At 39.8% G+C, this 23,720-nt stretch overlaps 1 protein-coding gene and 1 pseudogene across 8 annotated transcripts in view, besides 2 other annotated features; both read left to right on the top strand.

Moving 5' to 3' along the window:
* Positions 1 to 23,720, top strand: part of SCFD2 (sec1 family domain containing 2) — a 493,080-nt gene that overhangs the window by 89,131 nt on the left and 380,229 nt on the right. For 7 of the 8 annotated variants that reach the window (NM_152540.4, XM_017007787.3, XM_047449646.1 and 4 more), the window contains exon 4: positions 2,930 to 3,105. The exons of the other annotated variant lie outside the window; for it this stretch is intronic. In NM_152540.4, coding sequence (NP_689753.2) covers positions 2,930 to 3,105 — 176 coding nt within the window. The remainder of the gene's footprint in view (positions 1 to 2,929; positions 3,106 to 23,720) is intronic. 8 annotated transcript variants of the gene reach the window in all.
* Positions 2,855 to 3,069: a silencer, noted in NCBI's record as "fragment chr4:54140029-54140243 (GRCh37/hg19 assembly coordinates)". NCBI's record gives its function as "represses an EF-1alpha promoter that drives an FKBP-Casp9 reporter gene in an ReSE screen in K562 erythroleukemia cells {active_cell/tissue: K562}" and the evidence as "EXISTENCE:reporter gene assay evidence [ECO:0000049][PMID:32094911]".
* RNU6-310P (RNA, U6 small nuclear 310, pseudogene) lies at positions 11,364 to 11,470 on the top strand (annotated as a pseudogene).
* Positions 20,235 to 20,746: an enhancer, noted in NCBI's record as "H3K27ac hESC enhancer chr4:54122352-54122863 (GRCh37/hg19 assembly coordinates)". NCBI's record gives its function as "activates a minimal SCP1, AML or CMV promoter by ChIP-STARR-seq in naive H9 embryonic stem cells {active_cell/tissue: H9 hESC(naive)}" and the evidence as "EXISTENCE:reporter gene assay evidence [ECO:0000049][PMID:30033119]".

Raw genomic sequence — 23,720 nt, 5'->3', positions numbered from 1 at the left:
GTTAACATCATTAGTCATTAGGAAAATGAAATTTTAAACCACAATGAGATACTGCTACACATCTGTTAGAATCATTAAAATAAAAATAGCTGACAAAACCAAGTGTTGGTGAAGTTGTAAGGCAACTAAAACTCTCATATGTTGCTGGTGGTACAGCCCACTTTGGAAATCAGTTTGCCAATTTCTTATAAAATTAAACATGTGCTTAAACTAAATACTGCATGTTCTCACTTATAAGTGGGAGCTAAATGATGGGAACACATGGACACTAAGAGGGGAACAGCTGATATTGGAGCTTACTTGAGGGTGGAGGGTGGGAGGAAGGAGAGGATCAGAAAAAATAACTATTGGGTACTAGGCATAGTACCTCGGTGACAAAACATTCTGTACCACAAATCCCCATGACACGAGTTTACCTATATAACAAACCAGTACATGTACCTCTGAACCTAAAATAAAAATTAAAAAAAAATAACTAAATGAAACTATAAATGTATATGTGGGTCAGTACCAAGAAGTTTTTTTCACAAACCCCTAAGTATCTGATTTCCACTCAAGTCTTTTAAACTTGTTTGATGTTGCTGAGTAGCAGAGGTCTTTTATTTTCCACTTTTTAACGTACCTAAAAAGCATGAACCCTGCATTTCAATGGACTGTATTGTACGCTTTTTTGCTATAAAACTTTTTCATCAAACACAATTACATTGTTCAATTTTGTTGTAAACTTAACATAAGATGCACTGTTGATATGCTTTCTGATATGTTTGATAAGAGTGATAAAATAAAGCTTAAGAATTAAAAAAAAATTAAAAGTAAGCATATACTTAACATCTGTCCTAGAAACCTGCTCCTAGAAATTTGCCTAAAGGAAAATGAAACATATGTATACACACACACACACACACACACACAAAGACCTGTACACAGATGTTTGTGAAGGCTTTATTCATAATTTCTAAAAAATTGAAAGCAACCCAAATACTCATTAACTAGTGAATAGATAAATAAATGGCTAAATAAACTATGATACATCCACACAATGAAATATCACTCAGCAAGAAAAAAGAGCAAACTACTAATACAAGCAGCAACGTGGATGAATCTCAGATACATTATGGTTCAGTGAAAGAAGCCAGACTCAAATGGCTACATACTATGTGATTCCATTTATGTGACACTCTAGAAAGACAAAACTGTGAGATGGAAATCAGATAAACACGGATAAGGGTTCATCAACCAACAGGGCTGGAACTAGGGAAAGTGAATGGACTACCAAGAAGGGGAGCTGTTTGGAATGATGGGAATGTTCTGTATTTTGACTGTGACAGTGGTTATCCAACCATATCCATTTGTCAAAATTCATAGAACTGTACACTAGAAAAGGCTGAATTTTACTGTATGTAGAAAATACCTTAATAAACCTGATAAAGAAACAAAGTATTAATGAGGTTTTTTTCTATGAGTACTTGAGCAAGCAGATTGTTAGCTTGCTGCTTTGAGAATCAGGAACAAACCCATGCTTTACCAAGGGACCAAAGAAACTCATGAGACTCACCCTCCTACTTATTCCCACTGTTCTTTTTCTTTAAATGCTTACCCTGATAAACTGGTAATGAAGAACTTAAACATTCTTTATCTCTTCAAAAAAATTAATGAAAAGATAGAAAGATATGTTGTAGGCTTTTGAGTTTCATGTGGCAAGGTCTTTACTTTTAGCAAAAACCATTTATTAAGTGATATCTGCCATTTAGCACTGGGTAAGACATTACTTTCTTAGCACGTCAGGCAGGACTAATAGATGCAGCACAAGCCTCGTTTTCTACCTCAAGGAGTTGCCATGAGAATCAGTAAAGGGTGTGTTTGTGTAAGCACTGTGTAAATTGCTAAATAAATGCAGGTGGTTTCATTGCCAAATACTTAACAAGCAAATAACTTGGATTTCAGTTTATAACAAGTTTATAACAAGCAAATAAACTTGGATTTCAGTATCAAAGAACAACCCACAAACATGGCATGGGTGAAACATATAGGAATGAATTACTTGGCTTACATCTATGTTTGGCCCCATTGCCTTTTTGCCTGGTGGGGAGAATCCGATGTCCAAGAGCTTTGCGCATAGCATGGAGGAATGGCAGGAATGAAATTTTACAGACTGGAGAGTGGGAGGAGACTCGGTGGAAAGACAGCTATTGGCAAAACTTGGAGTTAGGGGCTCTGAAGGAGTGAATCCTCAACAGTTTGTGTGTTTGTAGATGTACAAGTGTTTGTATAGTCTCTATGCTTTTATGAGGTAGGCTCTCTTGTTCTAAATGTAGGTGACCATTGTAGCAAATGTGCTGTTCCCCACACCAACCCTTTCTTCTGATACCTCCTCTTCCAGTGGTTTTGCACTGTAGTTCTTGATACATTTTTGTTCCATGTAACTGCTTTTATCTCACGAATATTGTCATGAACTCACTGATATCAATGGTAAAGTTTTAGATGAGAAATAATCTATTTCTCATCTTCTTTTAGGTACATACACACACAATTAGAAATCTTATCTTTTTCCCTCTTAGATTGCTATGTCATATGTCATAAAGAGGTACTCCAAGTTGAGCTCAACAAATATTTATTTGTGTGACTTTATTTGAAAATTTATTTACAGAGTATTACATAATGATAAAATGAATTCTACTGGCAACATGACCTTGGCCAGATCCCTTAATTAGCATCCCTGTTTCCTTACTTGCAAAATGCAGGTATTAATAATAGGACCAGTTTTGCTCTTGTCACTATATAGTTGTAAGAATCACAATAGCTTAGGAAAGCTTGCAGTCAGCTCTGAAGTTCTGCCCAAATACAAGACAGTGGTATTATTAATGGAATCCTTCTCATTATTTGTACTATTCCCAGAAGGGGGTACACTGATAAATTCTTATGTTTCCAGGGAGAGTCACACCGGGACAGCTCATGTCCTATATTCAGCTCTTCAAGAACAACCTCAAAGCTCTAATGAATCATTGTGGCCTCCTCCAGCTTGGACTGGCCACAGCTCAAACGTTGAAACACCCACAGACTGCCAAGTGGGACAACTTTCTGGCTTTTGAAAGGCTCCTTCTTCAGGTATGTTGCTATGGGAACCTCGTGGGATCTTAATAATTAATGTTTTGACTTCCAGAGAAAAACCTTGACATTTATTATAGCCTTAGTAATAAATCATATTGTTGACATGTGCCCTGCTTCATATTCTCTAAGTGCCCCCTAGTTAAAATTCAAGTAGAAACTTTTTTCACACCTGTTTAAAAAAAAATTTTGACAGTAACATCTTTGGCTTCTCATTTAATACCAAGGATGTTTTTTGAGCATTGGACTAACCTCTGGACACCTCTTTCAATTTTATGCCATTTGGACCTTTCTTGCTCTTCATGGCATCTTTATTTGATCCTTGCTACTTTTTCTGTAACATATTATCGCTATTTACATTTCTTCTGACATTACCTAGTTTCTAGTCCTTAAGCAACATATAGCATGTGTCTTAAAATGGCGTTTAGTAAAAAATGAAGGAAGTGATCTCCATTTGTAGTGTTTATACAGATATTTGTATGTGGGATAGGAACTTTTCATGACTGATGAAATATTTTCATGGGAAACTTTTAAAAAAATATGTAGTATGTGTTTTTTAAAATTATGAAGTATTTTTAAAAATTATACAGTACTTTAAAAAGGACAGAGGATTGTGAAGCATAAATGTACATAAAATGGCAAGTATCTGTAAACTTTCCACATAGACTCAATATGATTTATCATTATTTTCATATTTATCATGGATCCTTTTTCATTAAAGAAATAAAACTAGAGATAAAGTTGAAGCATTTTTGATACTATATAACCATCTCTAATCTGATTTTCCTTTTTCTTTCCCTAGAGATAATTACAAGCTCAATTCACTGTTTTTATATTTTTATTAGATGTTTGCTTTCTCATAAATAATATAGAGCATTTATGCTATGGGTTTTAATTTTACATAAGTGATATTATACTATAAATATCCCTAAATAGCTTGCTTTTTTCTCTCAAGGTTCTATTTTTTTTTAATTATACTTTAAGTTTTAGGGTACATGTGCACAACGTGCAGGTTAGTTACATATGTATACATGTGCCACGTTGATGTGCTGCACCCATTAACTCACGTCATTTAACATTAGGTATATCTCCTAATGCTATCCCTCTCCCCTTCCCCCCACCCCACAACAGGCCCCGGTATGTGATGTTCCCCTTCCTGTGTCCATGTATTCTCATTTTTCAATTCCCACCTATGAGTGAGAACATGCGGTGTTTGGTTTTTTGTCCTTGCGATAGTTTGCTGAGAATGATGGTTTCCAGCTTCATCCATGTCCTTACAAAGGACATGAGCTCATCCTTTTTTATGGCTGCATAGTGTTCCATGGTGTGTATGTGCCACATTTTCTTAATCCAGTCTATCATTGTTGGACATTTGGGTTGGTTCCAAGTCTTTGCTATTGTGAATAGTGCTGCAATAAACATACGTGTGCATGTGTCTTTATAGCGGCATGATTTCTAATCCTTTGGGTATATACCCAGTAATGGGATGGCTGGGTCAAATGGTATTTCTAGTTCTAGATCCCTGAGGAATTGCCACACCAACTTCCACAATGGTTGCACTAGTTTACAGTGCCAACAGTGTAAAAGTGTTCCTATTTCTCCACATCCTTTCCAGCACCTGTTGTTTCCTGACTTTTTAATGATCGCCATTCTAACTGGTGTGAGATGGTATCTCATTGTGGTTTTGATTTGCATTTCTCCGATGGCCAGTGATGATGACCATTTTTTCATGTGTCTTATGGCTGCATAAATGTCTTCTTTTGAGAAGTGTCTGTTCATATCCTTTGCCCACTTTTTGATGAGGTTGTTTGTTTTTTTCTTGTAAATGTGTTTGAGTTCATTGTAGATTCTGGATATTAGCCATTTGTCAGATGAGTAGATTGCAAAAATGTTCTCCCATTCTGTAGGTTGCCTGTTCACTCTGATGGTAGTTTCTTTTGCTGTGCAGAAGCTCTTTAGTTTAATGAGATCCCATTTGTCAATTTTGGCTTTTGTTGCCATTGCTTTTGGTGTTTTAGACATGAAGTCTCAAGTTTCTATTTTTAAGATAATCCAAAGTGATGGGCTGGGTGCAGTGGCTCACACTTGTAATCCCAGCACTTTGGGAGGCCGAGGTGGGCGGATCACTTGAGGTTAGGAGTTGGAGACCAGCCTGGCCAACATGGCAAAATCTTGTCTCTACTGAAAATACAAAAATTAGCTGGGTGTGGTGGCGGTCCTCTGTAGTCCCAGCTACTCGGGAGGCTGAGGCAGGAGAATTTCCTGAACCTGGGAGGCAGAGGTTGCAGTGAGCTGAGATTGTGCCACTGCACTTCAGCCTGGGTGACAGAGGGAGACTCCATCTCAAAAATAAATAAATAAATAAATAAATAAATAAATAAATAAATAAAGTGATGTATGTAGATCTAGCTCATTCCTTTAAACCACATCATAAATATACAATTTATTTATGCAATCTATACTGATGTTTAGTTAGGCTGTTGCATTTGTGCTGTGTGTGTGTGTGTGTGCGTGTGTGTGTGTTGTATGTGTGTATGTATGTGAGATTAGGAAAAATTATGCAGTGAATACCCTGGAATATGTCTCCTGTTATATATTGTTAGTTTACCAGACATTGCCAAAAATATTGAAGCAGGTAAGGCTCAAGGCTGTGTCCTCTTCAGGATGTCGGTGAGCTGCCTTCATTATCCAGAATGTCTAAAGTGTCACAAACATATATCAAGAGGCAGAAAAAGGAGCTTATTTCTTCATTATGTATTTTTTCCATCAAGGCAAAAAGAAAAAAAAACTTTCTGAATCCTTAATGATGGCTTATGAGCCTTACCTCAAAATATCTTGTTTTGTGAGATGATAATTTTTGTTGTTTATGGTGGTTGGTTTTCTGTTATTTGGAGCCAAAATACACTCATCTTTTTCCCATTAATATGTAATATACTAAGATCCCAAATAAAAGTGTTTTTTCCCCCAGTTTTTAGTTTGTTCTAGTTGTCAGTTTATCCATCAGTGTTTTTAAATCCATATGTTCAGTTTTATGCTTTTATTCATGGGTATTTTAAGGATTTTAATGCCATTATGAATTCAGTTTTTAAAATTCAGTTTTCCAGATGTTTATTGTTGGCATGTAGGAATATCTTGACTCGTGAATAGTGATCATGGATCCAACACCTTGCATTTTGTAATGATATTTGTTTTCTTATTTCTGGTTGTTATTCATTGATTGTCCTGGGCCTTCTGTGTGGGCAAGAATATTATCTGTGAATAAAGTCAGTTTTGTTTCTTCATTTCCACACTTGATACCAAGTGTCTTTCATAGTGCATTGACCAGGCATACTAGGCCCTTTTTCAGTAAGAGTCATGCTAACAGGCATCTTCATCTTATTCCTGACTTGAAGGAAAATGTTCCCAAATGTTGCCATTAAGTATTATGTTTGCTGAGGTTTTGTTTTGTTTTTAATCAGACTAAGGAAGTTTCTTCCTAATCCTAGTTTGCTGTATTTTTTTTTTAGTGATGCATTAGTGTTGCATTTTGTTTAATGCAGATTATTATTTTTTAAAATGATGAGTTTTTCTCCCTTAATCTGTTAATGTGGTGAATTGGGTTTATAACTTTTTTAATGCTAAATAATCTTCATTGCATTCCTGGGACAAATTCAACTTGTTCCCACACACACATATACTCATACACATGTAAACATATGCACACACACACATACAAATCGCTGGATATAGTTTACTAATATTTTCCATAGAAATTTGCATTCATGCTCACAGGTGAAATTAGGATTTTTTCTTTCTTTTTTTGAGACAGGTCTTGCTCTGTCACCCAGGTTGGAGTGCAGTGGCGTGATCTCAGTTCACTGCAACCTCCACCTCCTGAGTTCAAGTGATTTTCCCATGTCAGCCTCCCGAATAGCTGGAATTACGGGTGTGCACCACCACGCCCAGCTAATTTTTGTATTTTTTTGTAGAGATAGGATTTCGCCATGTTGGCCATGCTGGTCTCGAACTTCTGATCTCTAGTGATCTGCCCGCCTTGGCCTCCCAGTGTTGGGATTACAGGCATGAGCCACTGCACCGGGCCTGTATTTTTTCTTTATTGTTCTGCCATGGTCTGGTTTTCCAAAAAAGATTATATTATAATAGTTTAGTAAAGTCAGTTAGGGTTTTACTTTTTCTATTCTCTATTTGTTTAAAAAAGGAATTATCAGTTGCTTAAAAGTAAAATACTCCAAAAAATAACCTGGACCTATTGCTTTGTTGTTGATATTTATAATTATAATAATATAAGTAATAGTAAGTGATTCAAAACTATAATTTCTTCAATTCTTTATCGCTTTGATTTATCTTCTGTCAGAGGTGATTTTAAATTACTCACAATGATTGTGAATTTACCAATTATACCATTTTAAAACATATTTCTATCTCTATCACTGTCTTTATCTCTGTCTTCATTAAAAACTATGAGCTCATATTACTTTCATAGTTCTTTTTTAAATTTTTTTGAGACAGGGTCTCACTCTATCACCCAGATTGAGTGCAGTGGCATGATCACCACTTAGTGTAGCCTCGACATCCCGGGCTCAAGTGATCCTCCCACCTCAGACTCCTGAGTAGCTGGGACTACAGGAATGCACCAGCACTCCTGGCTCATTTTTATTTTTTATTTTTTGTAGAAATAGGATCTTTCTGTATTGCCCAGGCTGGTCTCAAACTCCTGGACTCAAGTGATCCTCCCGCCTTGGCCTACCAAAATGTTGGGATTACAGGCATGAGCCACTGCACTTGGTCTAATATCATAGCTCTAGTCTAACAGCACAGGGTTCATTCCAGTTTTCCCCCTTTCCATAATTGCACCCCCCTTCTCTGACAGTGAGGAACTTGTCTCCCATTATCCTTGACATATTTAATTACTTTATCATCCCCACTGTGTGTAACTAATCTTCCAATAGAGTTGCTTCCCTGTGGCGTGGATGCCTCCTCACCTCACCTGGGCTCTCCCTTCCTGCTCCAGGCCATGGCCAAGCCCACACGGATGTTCTCTCTCACTTCATACAGAGGCACCCTTGTGGAAACCTCCCCATAGGGATGCTCTTCTACCTCAGTTGAGCTCTGACATCTCACCCTGTGCTGCCCCTGCCTCTGCCTTCTTCATAGAGGCCCTCCTCATGCCTCTCGGGCTCCAGCACCCCACACCAAGCCCACACTGTGGCTCCTATAGCACAGATACCCTCCTCATTCTGCAGGCTCTGACACTTTATGCCGAGTTGCTACCATTTCTACTGCCTTCTTTAGCTGCCCTCACCACCCCGCTCAGAGTCCTACACCGCATCCTGGGATGTTGTTGTCACTCAACCTCCACCTGGATACCTTTTGTCACCTGCTTTGGTTCTGACAACCCATGCAGGGCTGCTGCTTCATTCTCCCCTCTCCTCTAGTCTCCCCATCCCTTTGAGATGTCCTCTTCACCCCACTTGGGTCCTGGTAGTCGTATGGACACCATCCTTATCTTGCTCAGGTTGTGATCCCCTGCCCTGGATCCTCACTTCCACCACCTTCCACGTGGATGCCCTTTCCATCCCCTTGGGTTCCAACAACCCCTGCGAGACTGTCCCACCCCCATGCACAAATGCCCTCCTCACCCGGTTCTGGCTCTGACACCATGCTCTGGACTGCCATTGTCTCCCCTGTGGACACCCTCTTCATACTCGTGGGCTCTGACAACCTGCCCTAAGCCACTATTGTGCCCTCCTTCATTCCTCCTGCCCTACCGTATGGACAATCTCTTCACCCTGCTGCTGTCTACATCACATGTCCTCTAAAGTGAGCCCCACTCCAAAATCTTATAAAATTGGTTCAAAACAAGACTATACAGAGATTTTCTCCTGAGAATGATAATCTTTCTAGATAAGCTTACTAAAGTTTTCTGAAGAAATTTGACATATTAATTCTAAGCCATTTTTTATTTGTAATTAATTTTTGGAATCTTTTGTTCCATATTAGACTCTTAGACTATTAGATGTGATCATGGTAATTGGTGTGGTTCTTTCAACAACTAAAGAAAGAATTGAAAGACTGAGGAACCCCAGGCATGGTGATACACATCTGTAGTTTCAGCTACTCAGGAGGCTGAAGTAGGAGGATTACTCGAAGTCAGGAGTTTGAGGCTGCAGTGGCCTGTGAATAGCCACTGCGCTCCAGCCTGGCAACACAGAGAGACCCCTTTGCCTCCGCCCAATCTCTTAAATAAATAAATAAGATTGGGGAAAAGAAGTAAACATTTAAAATACTAAAATCCTACTTTTATCATAATTGCATATCACCCTGACCAGTACTGTGTTCTCAGTCACTTCTGGGTCCTTACAAGTTAGGGTTTTAGCATAGGCGAATGTATAAACTGATCATCGGAATGCTCTTTGTTTATGGACATGCTTACTTTACATAGTATATACTCATCCATTAGTTTAACAAGTCATAATATATGGGCAGCTGCCCCTTTTACAGGCTTTGGTTTGAAAGTAGGGCATTTGTGTTTATTTTGAGCATGAGGACAACCTTTCGTTTTTCCCCAAGGGCTTTAGAGCCACCAAGAAATTTCAGCTAATGTTGAGAATTGTTTATGTCTTGGGAGACTCATTTCCACCACTTTCTACCAGGCCTCAATCACCGAAACCTCAATGTTTACTTTATGGCCTAAGTAATGTTATAGACAACCTTAGCTAAAAAAAAGAAATCGGTCTTAGAAATCTACAATTAAAAATAGGTTACTGCATTTCTTCTACTTACAATGGTTTTGGTGATCTAACAACTAGCCAGCAAGAGACCTGAGGACTATTTGTAAGATTTGTGTTGGACTTACACTCCTAGAAACAATAGATTTATACACTTAATTTCTAAAGATAATATTATATGCTTAAAAGAGAAACCTTTTTGAGTATTCTTGGGGAAAATCTAATATTTGTTAGCAGTGAGTACAATTTGAAAAGCCGAAGGAGATAAAGCATCTTCATGACTCCTTTTTTCTCTCTCTTATCTCCAAGGTCCAATATCACTGTCAGTGTTTTAGGCATTGAATACATCTGTGCTAGTTATAAAATAATTCTGATTTTGCTTCAAATTTAAAGTGTAGAAAAGAACATGTTTAAACGGATCGTGGATATGTTTATGATTCAATTAGTGAGTGTTTTCACAAAGTAGCTTTGCCTTTTAATTAAAGTACAAATTCATTTAATTTGGTGAAATGGTGTAAAGTATGAAGAATTCCTTTCTTGTAGTATAGCAAGAGAGTTTGGCTTAGTTTCCTCATCTAAAGAGAAATAAAGTATCTACCTCATAGTGTTATTGTCAGGATTGAGTGAGATTACATGTGTATTAATACACATATTTATGTGTCATGTATTAATACACATAATACATAGCTAAGAATAAATTATCTACCTCATAGTGTTATTGTCAGGATTGAGTGAGACTATATGTGTATTAATACATAACTAAGTACAGTAAATCCTCAATAAATAGTCATTATTATTTATTCTTTCAGCTGGGTCAAAAATATTACAAATGCTGTCTTTAATATATTCTCACCTGGATTTTGGTTTCCTAAATTAAAATTTATTAAGGAAGAATGAGTTTGTCACTTAGAAAAATGTTACTATCTTTTTATATTTACTGTTTGATAATGTTAGACAGTATTTCTCTTTAAACCTTGATTTAAAGCCCACTTTTTCTGCAATGGATGGCTGATGTTTTTATGCTAGTCATCACAAGAAAAAAGCTTTTTTTCCCCATTAAAAATTTATTGGCCAGGCCTGGTGGCTCACACCTGCAATCCTGAGGCAGGAGGATCACTTGAAGCCAGGAGTTCAAGACCAGTCTGGGCAACATAGTGAGACCTTGTCTGTACTAAAAATGAAAAAAAAAAATTAGCTGGATGTGGTGGTGCATGCCTGTGGTCCCAGCTACTCAGGAGGCTGAGGCAGGAGGATCACTTGAGCCCAGGAGGTCAAAGCTGCAGTGAGCCGTAATTGCGTCACTGCATTCCAGCCTGGGTGACCCTGTCTCAAATAAATAAATAAATAAATAAAAGGCAAAAGAAAACAATTATTTTATAGGCATGTTTATACCACTTATTATAAAACTATAACAATGTAATTGTTATAGTTATAACAATAACTAGTGCTTGAACTTCAAAGAGAATGAAACAACTGACCTTTTTGTCAAAATTACACAGCAAATAAATGACCCTTTAAATTGTGCATTAGGTGCTCTCTTTGGCAGCACATATACTAAAATTGGAATGATACAGAAAAGATTAGCATGGCCCCTGCACAAAGATGACATGCAAATTCGTGAAGCATTTCACATTTTTAAAATCTAGAATAAAAGTAAAAATTAAAGAAAAATTGTGCATTAGCAAACCCACTATATTTTTTAAGCCTTATGCTGTTTCTACTTGTCTTAAAAAATGGCATGGTGTATTGGTGTGAGTGGTAATAATAATAATAAACATAATCCTCATTGGATTCAGAAAACTTTGAAACCCCAGAAAAGATTTTGTGGGATAAAATCAAGGTATCATAGAGTGAGAACACTGAAAAGTAATATGTATTCTTGAACGCTGCCCAACATCTGATTTCCCCTCTATAAAATCACTGAAGAGTAATACAAGGAAAAAAACCTTTTATTTTGACTATAACTTATTGTGGTTATAAAATGATAGCAAACAATGTATTAAGGAAGCAGCTGTGTTTAAACTTCCTACTTCCTAAACATATACTTTATAAATATATATGTAATATATCCATCTCCAGTTATTTCTTTAGGTAGAATTTATACTTTAAATTAAAGCAATCCAGCTTGGAAAATGGTTTTTTAATAAAATATAAATGAGTTATAAAGTCACTCAAGAAAATTGAGGTAAAATATAGCTTTAGTTTTAAGTTTTATCTCTTTGCAATAAAAAATAGGCATCTATTTTATTGGCTGCCAAAGTAGTTTTTAATAGGTAGGATTGGTTTTTTAAAATATATTGAATGTTAGATAGTATCTTTCTATAGCAAATCAAGTTTACCTAAGCTAAGTAATAGTATGTCTGCTAATTTTCTAATAAATTGGCAGATTTTACTTTCTAAGTCCTCTAGTGCCTCTATTAGCTCTCACGCCATATGGCTTGGCTTGGAAATATGATGGCTCATTTTAGTGCCATTCCTGACTTCACCAACACCCTGGGAGGTTCTGTTTTATAATGCCTTCTTTTTAGCCATTTATAATTAGGATTGAGTTTTTCTGAGAAGAAGTTTCCACCACACTGCTTCTCTGTGGGCCTTGCTATTCAAGAGTCATTTGGCAGCATGGGGTATTGTTACTTGCAAAAGCATCTTTGGAGATTTGGATTAAGATGGCGGATAGGAGACAGGACTAGCTTGCAGCTCCCACTCAGAGCAGTGTGTGGAGATTCACATCGTGAACTTCTGCTCCAAGAACCACTGCAGGAACATGCCAGGAAAGCTGAGAGAATGCACAGACCATTTGGAGGAACTGGATCACTACTGCAGGCTCCCTGAGATGCTGAAAAACTGAGTCTGCTTGCTTTCTCAGTGGAGAGGCTGGTGGTCTGGGGAAGTTCTCAGCCCTGGTCACTGGCTGCCTGGAAATAAACTTGGTCCTATTGCTGGGGCACAGTGGGCATGATACCAGCCTTTAGGACTGTAGTCTACATGGGAGCGGGGTGAAGCCTGAGACTGCCGGCTTTACCCCTTTTCCCTGGTGATCTGTGTGATTCAGCAGAGGCAGCTATAATCCCCCTGGGAACATAACTCCATTGGCTTGGGAACTATACCACCATCTCCCACAGTAGCTGCAGCAAGCCTCGCCCAAGGAGAGTCTGAGCTCAGACACACCTATTCCTGCTCCCACCTGGTGGTCTTTCTCTACCAGCCCTGGTTGCCAAAGACAAAGGATATAATCTCTTGGGGGCTCTATGGCCCTGTCTACTGCCTGAAAAACCTGAATACTTAACCAGGCAACCATGGGGCAAGTTTGCATCCTCCTATAGTACTGCAGCTGATGCACTCTTGAAAGCGCCACCTCCTGGCTGGAGGCCAACCGACAAAAGAAAACAGTGCGCTAAACAAAAATACAACCAAGGACCCTCACAGAGTCCACTTCACTCCCCTGCTGCCTCCACTGGAGCAGGTGCTGGTATCCATGGCCGAAAGACCTGAAGATGGATCACATTATAGGACTCTTTGCAGACACTCCCCAGTACCAGCCTGAAACCTTGTAGCTCCACTGGTTGGCTAGACCCAGAAGAGCAAAAATGATCACTGTAGTGCAGCTCTCAGGAAGCCCCATCCCTAGGGGAAGAGGGAGAACAGTTCATCAAGGGAGCACCCCATGAGACGAAATAATCTGAACAGCAGCCCCGAGTCCCAGATCTTCCCTCTGACATAGTTTACCTAAATGAGAAGGAACCAGAAAAACAATTCTGATAATATGACAAAACAAGGTTCTTTAACAGCCCCAAAAGATCACATTAGCTTACCAGCAATCCAAACCAAGATGAAATCTCTAAATTTCCAGAAAAAGAATTCGAAGGTCGATTATTAAGCTAATCAAGGAGACGCCAGAGAAAGGTGAAGTCCAACTTAAAGAAATCAAAAATATGATATAGGATATGAAAGGAAAAATGTTCAGTGAAATAGACAGCATAAATAAGAACAATCACAACTTCTGGAAATCAAAGACACACTTAGAGAAATGAAAAATGCACTGGAAAGTCTCAGCAATAAAATTGAACAAGCAGAAGAAAGAACTTCAGAGCTCAAGGACAAGGCTTTCGAATTAACCCAATCCATCATAGACAAAGAAAAAATAATTTTAAAAAATGAACAAAGCCTCCAGGAAGCTTGGGACTATGTTAAGCATCCGAACCTAAGATAATTGCTTTTCCTAAGGAGGAAGAGAAATCTAAGAGTTTGGAAAACATATTTGAGGGAATAATTGAGGAAAACTTCCCCAGCCTGGCTACAGATCTAGACATCCAAATACCAGAAGCTCAAAGAACACCTGGGAAATTCATCACAAAAAGATAATTGCCTAGGCACATAGTCATCAGGCTATCTAAAGTCAAGACAAAGGAAAGAATCTTGAGAGCTGTGAAGCAAAAGCATCAGGTAATGTATAAAGGAAAACCTATCAGAGTAACAGCAGATTTCTCAGCAGAAATCCTACAAGCTAGAAGGGATTGGGGTCCTATTTTTAGCCTCCATAAACAGAACAATTATCAGCCAAGAATTTTGTATCCAGCAAAACTAAGCTTCATAAATGAAGGAAAGATACAGTCTTTTCTAGACAAACAAATGCTGAGAGAATTCACCACTGCAAGCCAGCACTACAAGACTGCTGAAAGGAGTTCTAAATCTTGAAACAAATTTTTGTGATACACCAAAATAGAACCTCCTTAAAGCATAAATGTCAAAGGACCTATATAACAATAACACGATGGGAAAAAAAAGACATCCAGGCAACAAATAGCATGATGGATAGAATAGTACCTGACATCTTAATACTAACATTGAATGAAAATGGCCTAAATGCTCCACTTAAAAGATACAATATGGCAGAATGGATAAGAATTCACCAACCAAGTTTCTGCTGTCTTCAGGAGACTCATCTAACACATAAGGACTCACATAAACTTAAGGTAAAGGGGTGGACAAAGATATTCCATGCAAATGGACACCAAAAGTGAGCAGGAGTAGCTATTCTTATATCAGACAAAACAAACCTTAAAGCAACAGCAGTTAAAAAAAGAGGGACCTTATATAATGATAAAAGGACTAGTACAAAAGGAAAATATATAATGATAAAAGGACTAGTACAAAAGGAAAATATCACAATCCTAAATATATATGCACCTAACACTGGAGCTCCCAAATTTATAAACAATTACTGCTAGACCTAAGAAATCAGATAGATGGCAACACAGCAATAGTGGGGGACTTTAATACTCCACTGACAGCACTAGACAGGTCATCAAGACAGAAAGCCAACAAAGAAACAATGGACTTAAATTGTTCCTACAACAAATGGACTTAACAGATATTTACAGAACATTCTATCCAACAACTGCAGAATATGCGTTCTATTCATCAGCACATGGAATGTTCTCCAAGATAGACTATATGATAGGCCACAAAACAAGTCTCAGTAAATGTAAGAAAATATAAATTATAGTAGATACTCTCTCAGACCACAGTGGAATAAAATTGGAAGTCAACTCCAAAAGGAACCCTCAAAACCATGCAAGTACATGGAAATTAAATAACCTGCTCCTGAATAATCTTTGGGTCAACAATGAAATCAAGATGCAAATTAAAAGTCTGAACAATAATAGTGACACAACCTATCAAAACCTCTAGGATACAGCAAAAGGTGCTAATAGGAAAGTTTATAGCACTAAATGCCTACATCAAAAAGTCTGAAAGAGCACGAATAGATAAACTAAGGTCACATCTCAAGAAACTACAGAAGCAAGAACACACCAAACCCAAACCCAGCAGAAGAAAAGACATAACAAAGATCAGAGCAGAACTAAATGAAATTGAAACAAACAAGCAAACAAACAAAAATACAAAAGATAAATGAAACAAAAAGCTGGTTCTTTGGAAAGATAAAATTGATAGAATATTAGCGACATTAACCAAGAAAAGAAGAAAGACGATCCAAATAAGCTCAATTAGAAATGAAACGGGATATATTACTACTGATACCACAGAAATACAAACGATCATTCAAGGCTACTGTGAACACCTTTACATGCTTAAACTAGAAAACATAGAGGAGATGGATAAATTCCTGGAAATATACAACCCTTCTAGATTAAACCAGGAAGATATAGAAACTCTGAACAGACCAACAACAAGCAGCAAGATTGAAATGGCAATAAAAAAATTGCCAACAAAAAAAGTCCAGGACCAGATGGATTCACAGCTGAATTTTATCAGACATTCAAAGAATTGGTATCAATCCTATTGACACTATTCCACACAATAGGGAAAGAGGGAATCCCCCCTAAATCATTCTATAAAGCCAGTATTACCCTGATATCAAAATCAGGAAAAGACATAACCAAAAAACAAAACTACAGACCAATATCCCTGATGAACATAGATGCAAAAATCCTCAGCAAAATACTAGTGGACTGAGTCCACCAGCATGTCAAAAAGATCATCCACCATGATCAGTTGGGTGTCATACCAGGGATGGAGGGATGGTTTAACATTCACAGGTCAATAAATGTGATACACCACATAAACAGAATTAAAAACAAAAATCACATGATCATCTCAGTAGATGCAGAAAAAGCAATGGACAAAATCCAGCATCCCTTAGTGATTAAACCCTCAGCAAAATCAGCATAGAAGGGACATACCTTAAGGTAATAAAGGTTGTCCATGACGAACCCACTGCTAACATTATACTGAATGGGGAAAAGTTGGAAGCATCCCCTCTGAGAACTGGAACAAGACAAGGATACACACTCTCATCACTTCTGTTCAACATAGTACTGGGAGTCCTAGCCAGAGCACTCAGCCAAGAAAAGGAAATAAAAGGCATCCAAATCTGTAAAGAGGAAGTTGAACTCTTGTTGTTTGCTGATGATATGATCGTATACCTAAAAAACCCTAAAGATTCATCCAAAAAGCTCCTAAAACTGGTAAATGAATTCAGCAAAGTTTCAGGATATGAAATTAATGCACACAAATCTATAAACCACTATATACCTTGCTATACACCAGCAGCGACCAAGCTGAGAAGCAAATCAAGAACTCAACCCCTTAACAATAGCTGCAAAAAAAAAAAAAATACCTGGTTATATATCTAACCAAGGAGGTGAAAGACCTCTGCAAGGTAAACTACAAAACACTACTGCAAGAAATCATAGATGATACAAACAAATGGAAAGACATCCCATGCTCATGGATGAGTAGAATCAATATTGTGAAAATGACCATACTGCCAAAAGCAGTTTACAAATTCAGTGCAATTTCTGTCAAAATACCACTATCATTCTTCACAGAACTAGAAAAACAATTCTAAAATTCATATGGAACCAAAAAAGAGCCCGCATAGCCAAAGCAAGACTAAGCAAAAAGCAAATCTGGAGGCATCACATTACCCGAATTCAAACTATACTATAAGTCCATAGCCACCAAAACAGCATGATTCTGGTATAAAAATAGGCACATAGACCAGTGGAACAGAATAGAGAACCCAGAAATAAGGCCAAATACTTAACAGCCAACTGATCTTTGAAAATGCAAACAAAAACACAAAGTGGGGAAAAGACACCCTATTCAACAAATGGTGCTGGGATAATTGGAAAGCCACAGGTAAAAGAATGAAACTGGATCCTCATCTCTCACCTTATACAAAAATCAACTCAAGATGGATCAAAGACTTACATCTATGACCTGAAACCATAAAGATTCTAGAAGATAACATCGGACAAACCGTCTAGATATTGGCTTAGGCAAAGACTTCATGACCAAGAATCCAAAAGCAAATGCAACAAAAACAAAGATAAATAGATGGGACATAATTAAACTAAAAAGCTTCTGCACAGCAAAATAAATAATCAGCAGGGTTAATAGACAACCCACAGAGTGGGAGAAAATCTTTACAATCTATACATCTGACTAAGAAGTAATATCCAGAATCTACACAGAATTCAAACAAATCAGCAGAAGAAACAATCCCACCAAAAAGTGGGCTAAGGACATGAATAGACAATTCTCAAAAGAAGATATAGAAATGGCTGACAAGCATATGGAAAAATGCTCAACATCACAAATTATCAGGGAAATGCCTATCAAAACCACAGTGTGATACCATCTTACTCCTGCAAGAATGGCCATAATAAAAAAATAAAAAAATAGATATTGGTGTGGATGTGGTGAAAAGGGAACACTTTTATACTGTTGTTGAGAATGTAAATTAGTACAACCACTATAAAAAACAGTGTGGAGATTCCTTAAGGAACTAAAAGTAGATCTACCATTTGACCCAGCAATCCCACTACTAGGTATCTACCCAGAGGAAAAGAAGTCATTATAGGAAAAACACACTTGCACACACATGCATGGTTATAGCAGCACAATTTGCAGTTGTGAAAGTATGGAACCAGCCCAAATGCCCATCAATCAATGGGTGGATAAAGAAAATGTGTTATGTATATATGTGTGTGTATATATATATATATATATATATATATATATATATATATACACACACACCATGGAATACGACTTAGCCATAAAAAGAAACAAAATAATGGCATTTGCAGCAACCTTGATGGAATTGGAGATGATGATTCTAAGTGAAGTAACTCAGGAATGGAAAACCAAACATCTTATGTTCTCACTCGAAAGTGGGAACTAGGCTATGAAGACACAAAGACATAAGAATGATACAGTGGACTTTGGGGACTTGGGGGAATGTGTGTGTAGGCGGGGGATAAAAGACTACACATTGCTTACAGTTACACTGCTTGGGTGATGGGTACACAAAAATCTCAGAAATTACTGGTAAAGAACTTATTAATGTAACCAAATACCATTTGTTTCTCCAAAACCTATTGAAATAAAAAATTCTAAAAAAAGTCATTGACAAAACTTGATGCTATCAAGGTTGGCAGTCAGGAAGATGGGCTGGATATGGAGCGAGAACAAGTGAGGATGACTTGGAAACCACTAGCACCTTTGAGTCTTTCCTTTATGGCCCTCGATCAATGATAAGCATCATCTGCTCAGCCTTCCTTCTACTTCCTAAATCTTATTAAGTTTCTCTTGCAGCCAACCCTATCTCATAACATGTAGGGAGGGACTTTTTTTCTTTATTGATCCTGTTTTGTATCTTTTTTGCTATTTTTTTTAAATATGAGGTTTTTTTTAAAAAAGAGAGCATGCATAATGCAGAAAAGATTGTATTGGACTAATGATTTCCAGACATAAAGAGATTTTTAAATCTAAAAAAAACTATGATATCATTTGAATGAAGAGTAAAGAAAGAGGCAAAAAAATATAATCTCCAAAGGCAGAGTTGGGTGCTCTTTACACATTAGGAAGAGATTTTGATAAGGTTTTTCCTGGGAAGAAAAATTGTGGAGCATTATTTTTTGCAATATTGTATCAAAAAACCCCACAAAAACCCAACATGGAAAATTTTTTTTTATTAGAGTATAACAACATTCTCCCACTCCTGATTTCCATCAAGAAGAGTTTTCCTATGGTCTTACCCTTTCTCTGACTCTCTTTTAGTGAGAGGGATGTTCTATCTGATTGGTAAATTTGGAATGATGGAATAAGAAGTGGCTCAACTCTACCTCTTCTCCGCTTAGGAGGCGCCCTGACTATACAGAGCACTGCGGGGCTCAGCCTTCCAGGGTTAGGATCTGCCTTTATTGTGTGACAGCTGCTGTTTCTTTCTGCACTCTTCTTCACATTGAACTGACTATAGGGAACAGGCACTCTGTCCTGCCCCTTCATGGGAGGCCTAGCCTGCTCATAGCTTGCCTGTGACCGAGAAGAAAAGGCTGCCTTCTGGAGCCCCATATTAGCAAGCTCACTTGGCTAATAGACCTCACATTCTACCACCTGGTTTGGCCTCTCTATCTGTATTAAAGGTGATATTTGGCTTCGTGTGTGTGTGTGTGTGTTACACTTTTAGGTTCAGGGGCGCATGTGTAGGTTTGTTACATAGAGAAACTCGTGTCATGGGAGTTTGTTGTACAGATTATATTGTCACTGTATTAGTCCCTTCTCACACTGCTATGAGGAAATACCTGAGACTGGATGATTTATAAAGAAAAAAGGTTTAGCTCTCCCTCTCCCTCCCCCTCCCCCTCCCCCTCCCCGTCCCCCTCCCTCTCTCCCTCTCCCTCTCCCCACGGTCTCCCTCTCCCTCTCTTTCCACGGTCTCCCTCTGATGCCTAGCCGAAGCTGGACTGTACTGCTGCCATCTCGGCTCACTGCAACCCCCCTGCCTGATTCTCCTGCCTCAGCCTGCCGAGTGCCTGCCCGCCACCACGCCTGACTGGTTTTCGTATTTTTTTGGTGGAGACAGGGTTTTGCTGTGTTGGCCAGGCTGGTCTCCAGCTCCTAATCGCGAGTGATCCGCCAGCCTCGGCCTCCCGAGGTGCCGGGATTGCAGATGGAGTCTCGTTCACTCAGTGCTCAATGGTGCCCAGGCTGGAGTGCAGTGGCGTGATCTCAGCTCACTACAACCACCTCCCAGCCGCCTGCCTTGGCCTCCCAAAGTGCCGAGATTGCAGCCTCTGCCCGGCCGCCACCCCGTCTGGGAAGTGAGGAGCGTCTCTGCCTGGTCGCCCATCGTCTGGGATGTGAGGAGCCCCTCTGCTGCCCAGTCTGGAAAGTGGGGAGCGTCTCTGCCCGGCCGCCATCCCATCTAGGAAGTGAGGAGCGTCTCTGCCCGGCTGCCCATCGTCTGAGATGTGGGGAGCGCCTCTGCCCCGCCGCCCCATCTGGGATGTGAGGAGCGCCTCTGCCCGGCTGCCCCGTCTGAGAAGTGAGGAGACCCTCTGCCTGGCAACTGCCCTGTCTGAGAAGTCAGGAGTCCCTCCGCCCGGCAGCCGCCCCGTCTGAGAAGTGAGGAGCCCCTCCGTCCGGCAGCCACCCCGTCTGGGAAGTGAGGAGCGTCTCCGCCCGGCAGCCACCCCGTCCGGGAGGGAGGTGGGGGTCAGCCCCCACCAGGCCAGCCGCCCCGTCCGGAAGGGAGGTGGGGGGTCAGACCCCCGCCCGGCCAGCCGCCCCGTCTGGGAGGGAGGTGGGGGGGTCAGCCCCCCACCCGGCCAGCCACCCCATCCGGGAGGTGAGGGGCGCCTCTGCCCGGCCGCCCCTACTGGGAAGTGAGGAGCCCCTCTGCCCGGCCAGCCGCCCCGTCCGGGATGGAGGTGGGGGGGTCAGCCCCCCGCCCGGCCAGCTGCCCGGTCCGGGAGGTGAGGGGCGCCTCTGCCCGGCCGCCCCTACTGGGAAGTGAGGAGCCCCTCTGCCCGGCCACCACCCCGTCTGGGAGGTGTAGCCAACAGCTCATTGAGAACGGGCCATGATGACAATGGAGGTTTTGTGGAATAGAAACGGGGGAAAGGTGGGGAAAAGATTGAGAAATCGGATGGTTGCCGTGTCTGTGTAGAAAGAAGTAGACATGGGAGACTTTTCATTTTCTTCTGTACTAAGAAAAATTCTTCTGCCTTGGGATCCTGTTGATCTGTGACCTTACCCCCAACCCTGTGCTCTCTGAAACATGTGCTGTGTCCACTCAGGGTTAAATGGATTAAGGGCAGTGCAAGATGTGCTTTGTTAAACAGATGCTTGAAGGCAGCATGCTCCTTAAGAGTCATCACCACTCCCCAATCTTAAGTACCCAGGGACACAAACACTGCGGAAGGCCGCAGGGTCCTCTGCCTAGGAAAACCAGAGACCGTTGTTCACTTGTTTATCTGCTGACCTTCCCTCCACTATTGTCCTATGACCCTGCCAACTCCCCCTCTGCGAGAAACACCCAAGAATGATCCATAAAAAATAAATAAATAAATAAATAAATAAATAAAAAAGAAAAAAAAAGAATAGGAAGTATTTGCTGGGTGCAGTGGCTCACACCTGTAATCCCAGCACTTTGGGAGGCCAAGGCGGGCAGATCACGAGATCAGGAGATTGAGACCAACCTGGATAACACAGTGAAACCCCGTCTCTACTAAAAATACAAAAATTAGCTGGGCATGGCGGTGTGTGCCTGTAGTCCCAGCTGCTGGGGAGGCTGAGGCAGGAGAATGGCGTGAACCCAGGAGGCGGAGCTTGCAGTGAGCCAAGATTGCGCCACTGCACTCCAGCCTGGGTGACAGAGCGAGACTCCATCTCAAAAAATAAAATAAAATAAAATAAAATAAATAAAATAAAATAAAATAAAATAAAATAAAATAAAATAAAATAAAATAAAATAAAAAAATAAAATAAACATGAAGTGTTTGCTTCCCTGATGGCACCAGCCACAATTTCAGTGCTCAGTAGCCCCATGGCCAGTGGCTACAGTAGTAGATAGTGCCACATTGAAAATTTCCTTCATCTCAGAATAAGAGAAATGGTCAGCACTGGTCTAAAATGACATGGGTCGGCCAGGTGCAGTGGCTCAAGCCTGTAATCACAGCACTTTGGGAGGCTGAGGTGGGTGGATCACCTGAGGTCAGGGGTTCGAGACCAGCCTGGCCAACATGGTGAAACCCCATCTCTACTAAAAATGAAATAAAATAAAACAAAAAAAAAAAGAAAAAAAGAAAAAAGGTTTAATTGACTCACAGTTCCACATTGCTGGGGAGGCCTCAGGCAACTTAAAATCATGGCAGAAGGCAAAGGAGAAGCAGGCATCTTCTTCACAGGGTGGCAGGATGGAGTGAGTGCATGCAGGGGAAACGCTGCCAGGCACTTATAAAACCATCAGATCTTGTGAGATTCACCCGTTATCCTGAGAACAGCATGGGGGAAACCACCCCCATGATCCAATTACCTCCACCTGGTCCTGCTTTTGACACGTGAGGATTATGGGGATTACGATTCAAGGTGAGATTTGGATGAGGACACAGAGCCAAATCATATCATTCATTCAGCCTGGTACTCAATAGTTATTTTTTCTGATCCTTTCCCTTCTCCACCCTCCACCCTCAGGTAGGCCCCAGTGTGTGTTGTTCCCCTCTATTTGTCCATGTGTTCTCATCACTTAGCTCTAACTTATAAGTGAGAATATGTGGTATTTGGTTTTCTCTTTCTATGCTACTTTGCCAAGGATAATGACCTCCAGCTCCATCCATGTTCCTGCAAAGGACATGATTTTTTTTTTTGACTTTGTTATTTTTTTTTTTTTTATAATTATACTTTAAGTTTTAGGGTACATGTGCACAATGTTCAGGTTAGTTACATATGTATACATGTGCCATGCTGGTGTGCTGCACTCATTAACTCGTCATTTAGCATTAGGTATATCTCCTAATGCAATCCCTCCCCCCTCCCCCCACCCCACGACAGTCCCCAGCATGTGATGTTCCCCTTCTGGTGTCCATGTGTTCTCATTGTTCAATTCCCATCTATGAGTGAAAACATGTGGTGTTTGGTTTTTTGTTCTTGCGATAGTTTACTGAGAATGATGATTTCCAATTTCATCCATGTCCCTACAAAGGACATGAACTCATCATTTTTTATGGCTACATAGTATTCCATGGTGTATATGTGCCACATTTTCTTAATCCAGTCTATCATTGTTGGACATTTGGGATGGTTTCAAGTCTTTGCTATTGTGAATAGTGCTGCAATAAACATACGTGTGCATGTGTCTTTATAGCAGCATGATTTATAGTCCTTTGGGTATATACCCAGTAATGGGATGGCTGGGTCAAATGGTATTTCTAGTTCTAGATCCCTGAGGAATCGCCACACTGACTTCCACAATGGTTGAACTAGTTTACAATCCCACCAACAGTGTAAAAGTGTTCCTATTTCTCCACATCCTCTCCAGCACCTGTTGTTTCCTGACTTTTTGATGATTGCCAT

Source organism: Homo sapiens, chromosome 4 (assembly GCF_000001405.40).
Source record: "Homo sapiens chromosome 4, GRCh38.p14 Primary Assembly".
In the NCBI taxonomy this organism is placed as follows: domain Eukaryota; kingdom Metazoa; phylum Chordata; class Mammalia; order Primates; family Hominidae; genus Homo; species Homo sapiens.
The sequence above is the reverse complement of the archived record's forward strand: the minus strand, read 5'-3'. Positions and strand labels throughout refer to the sequence as shown.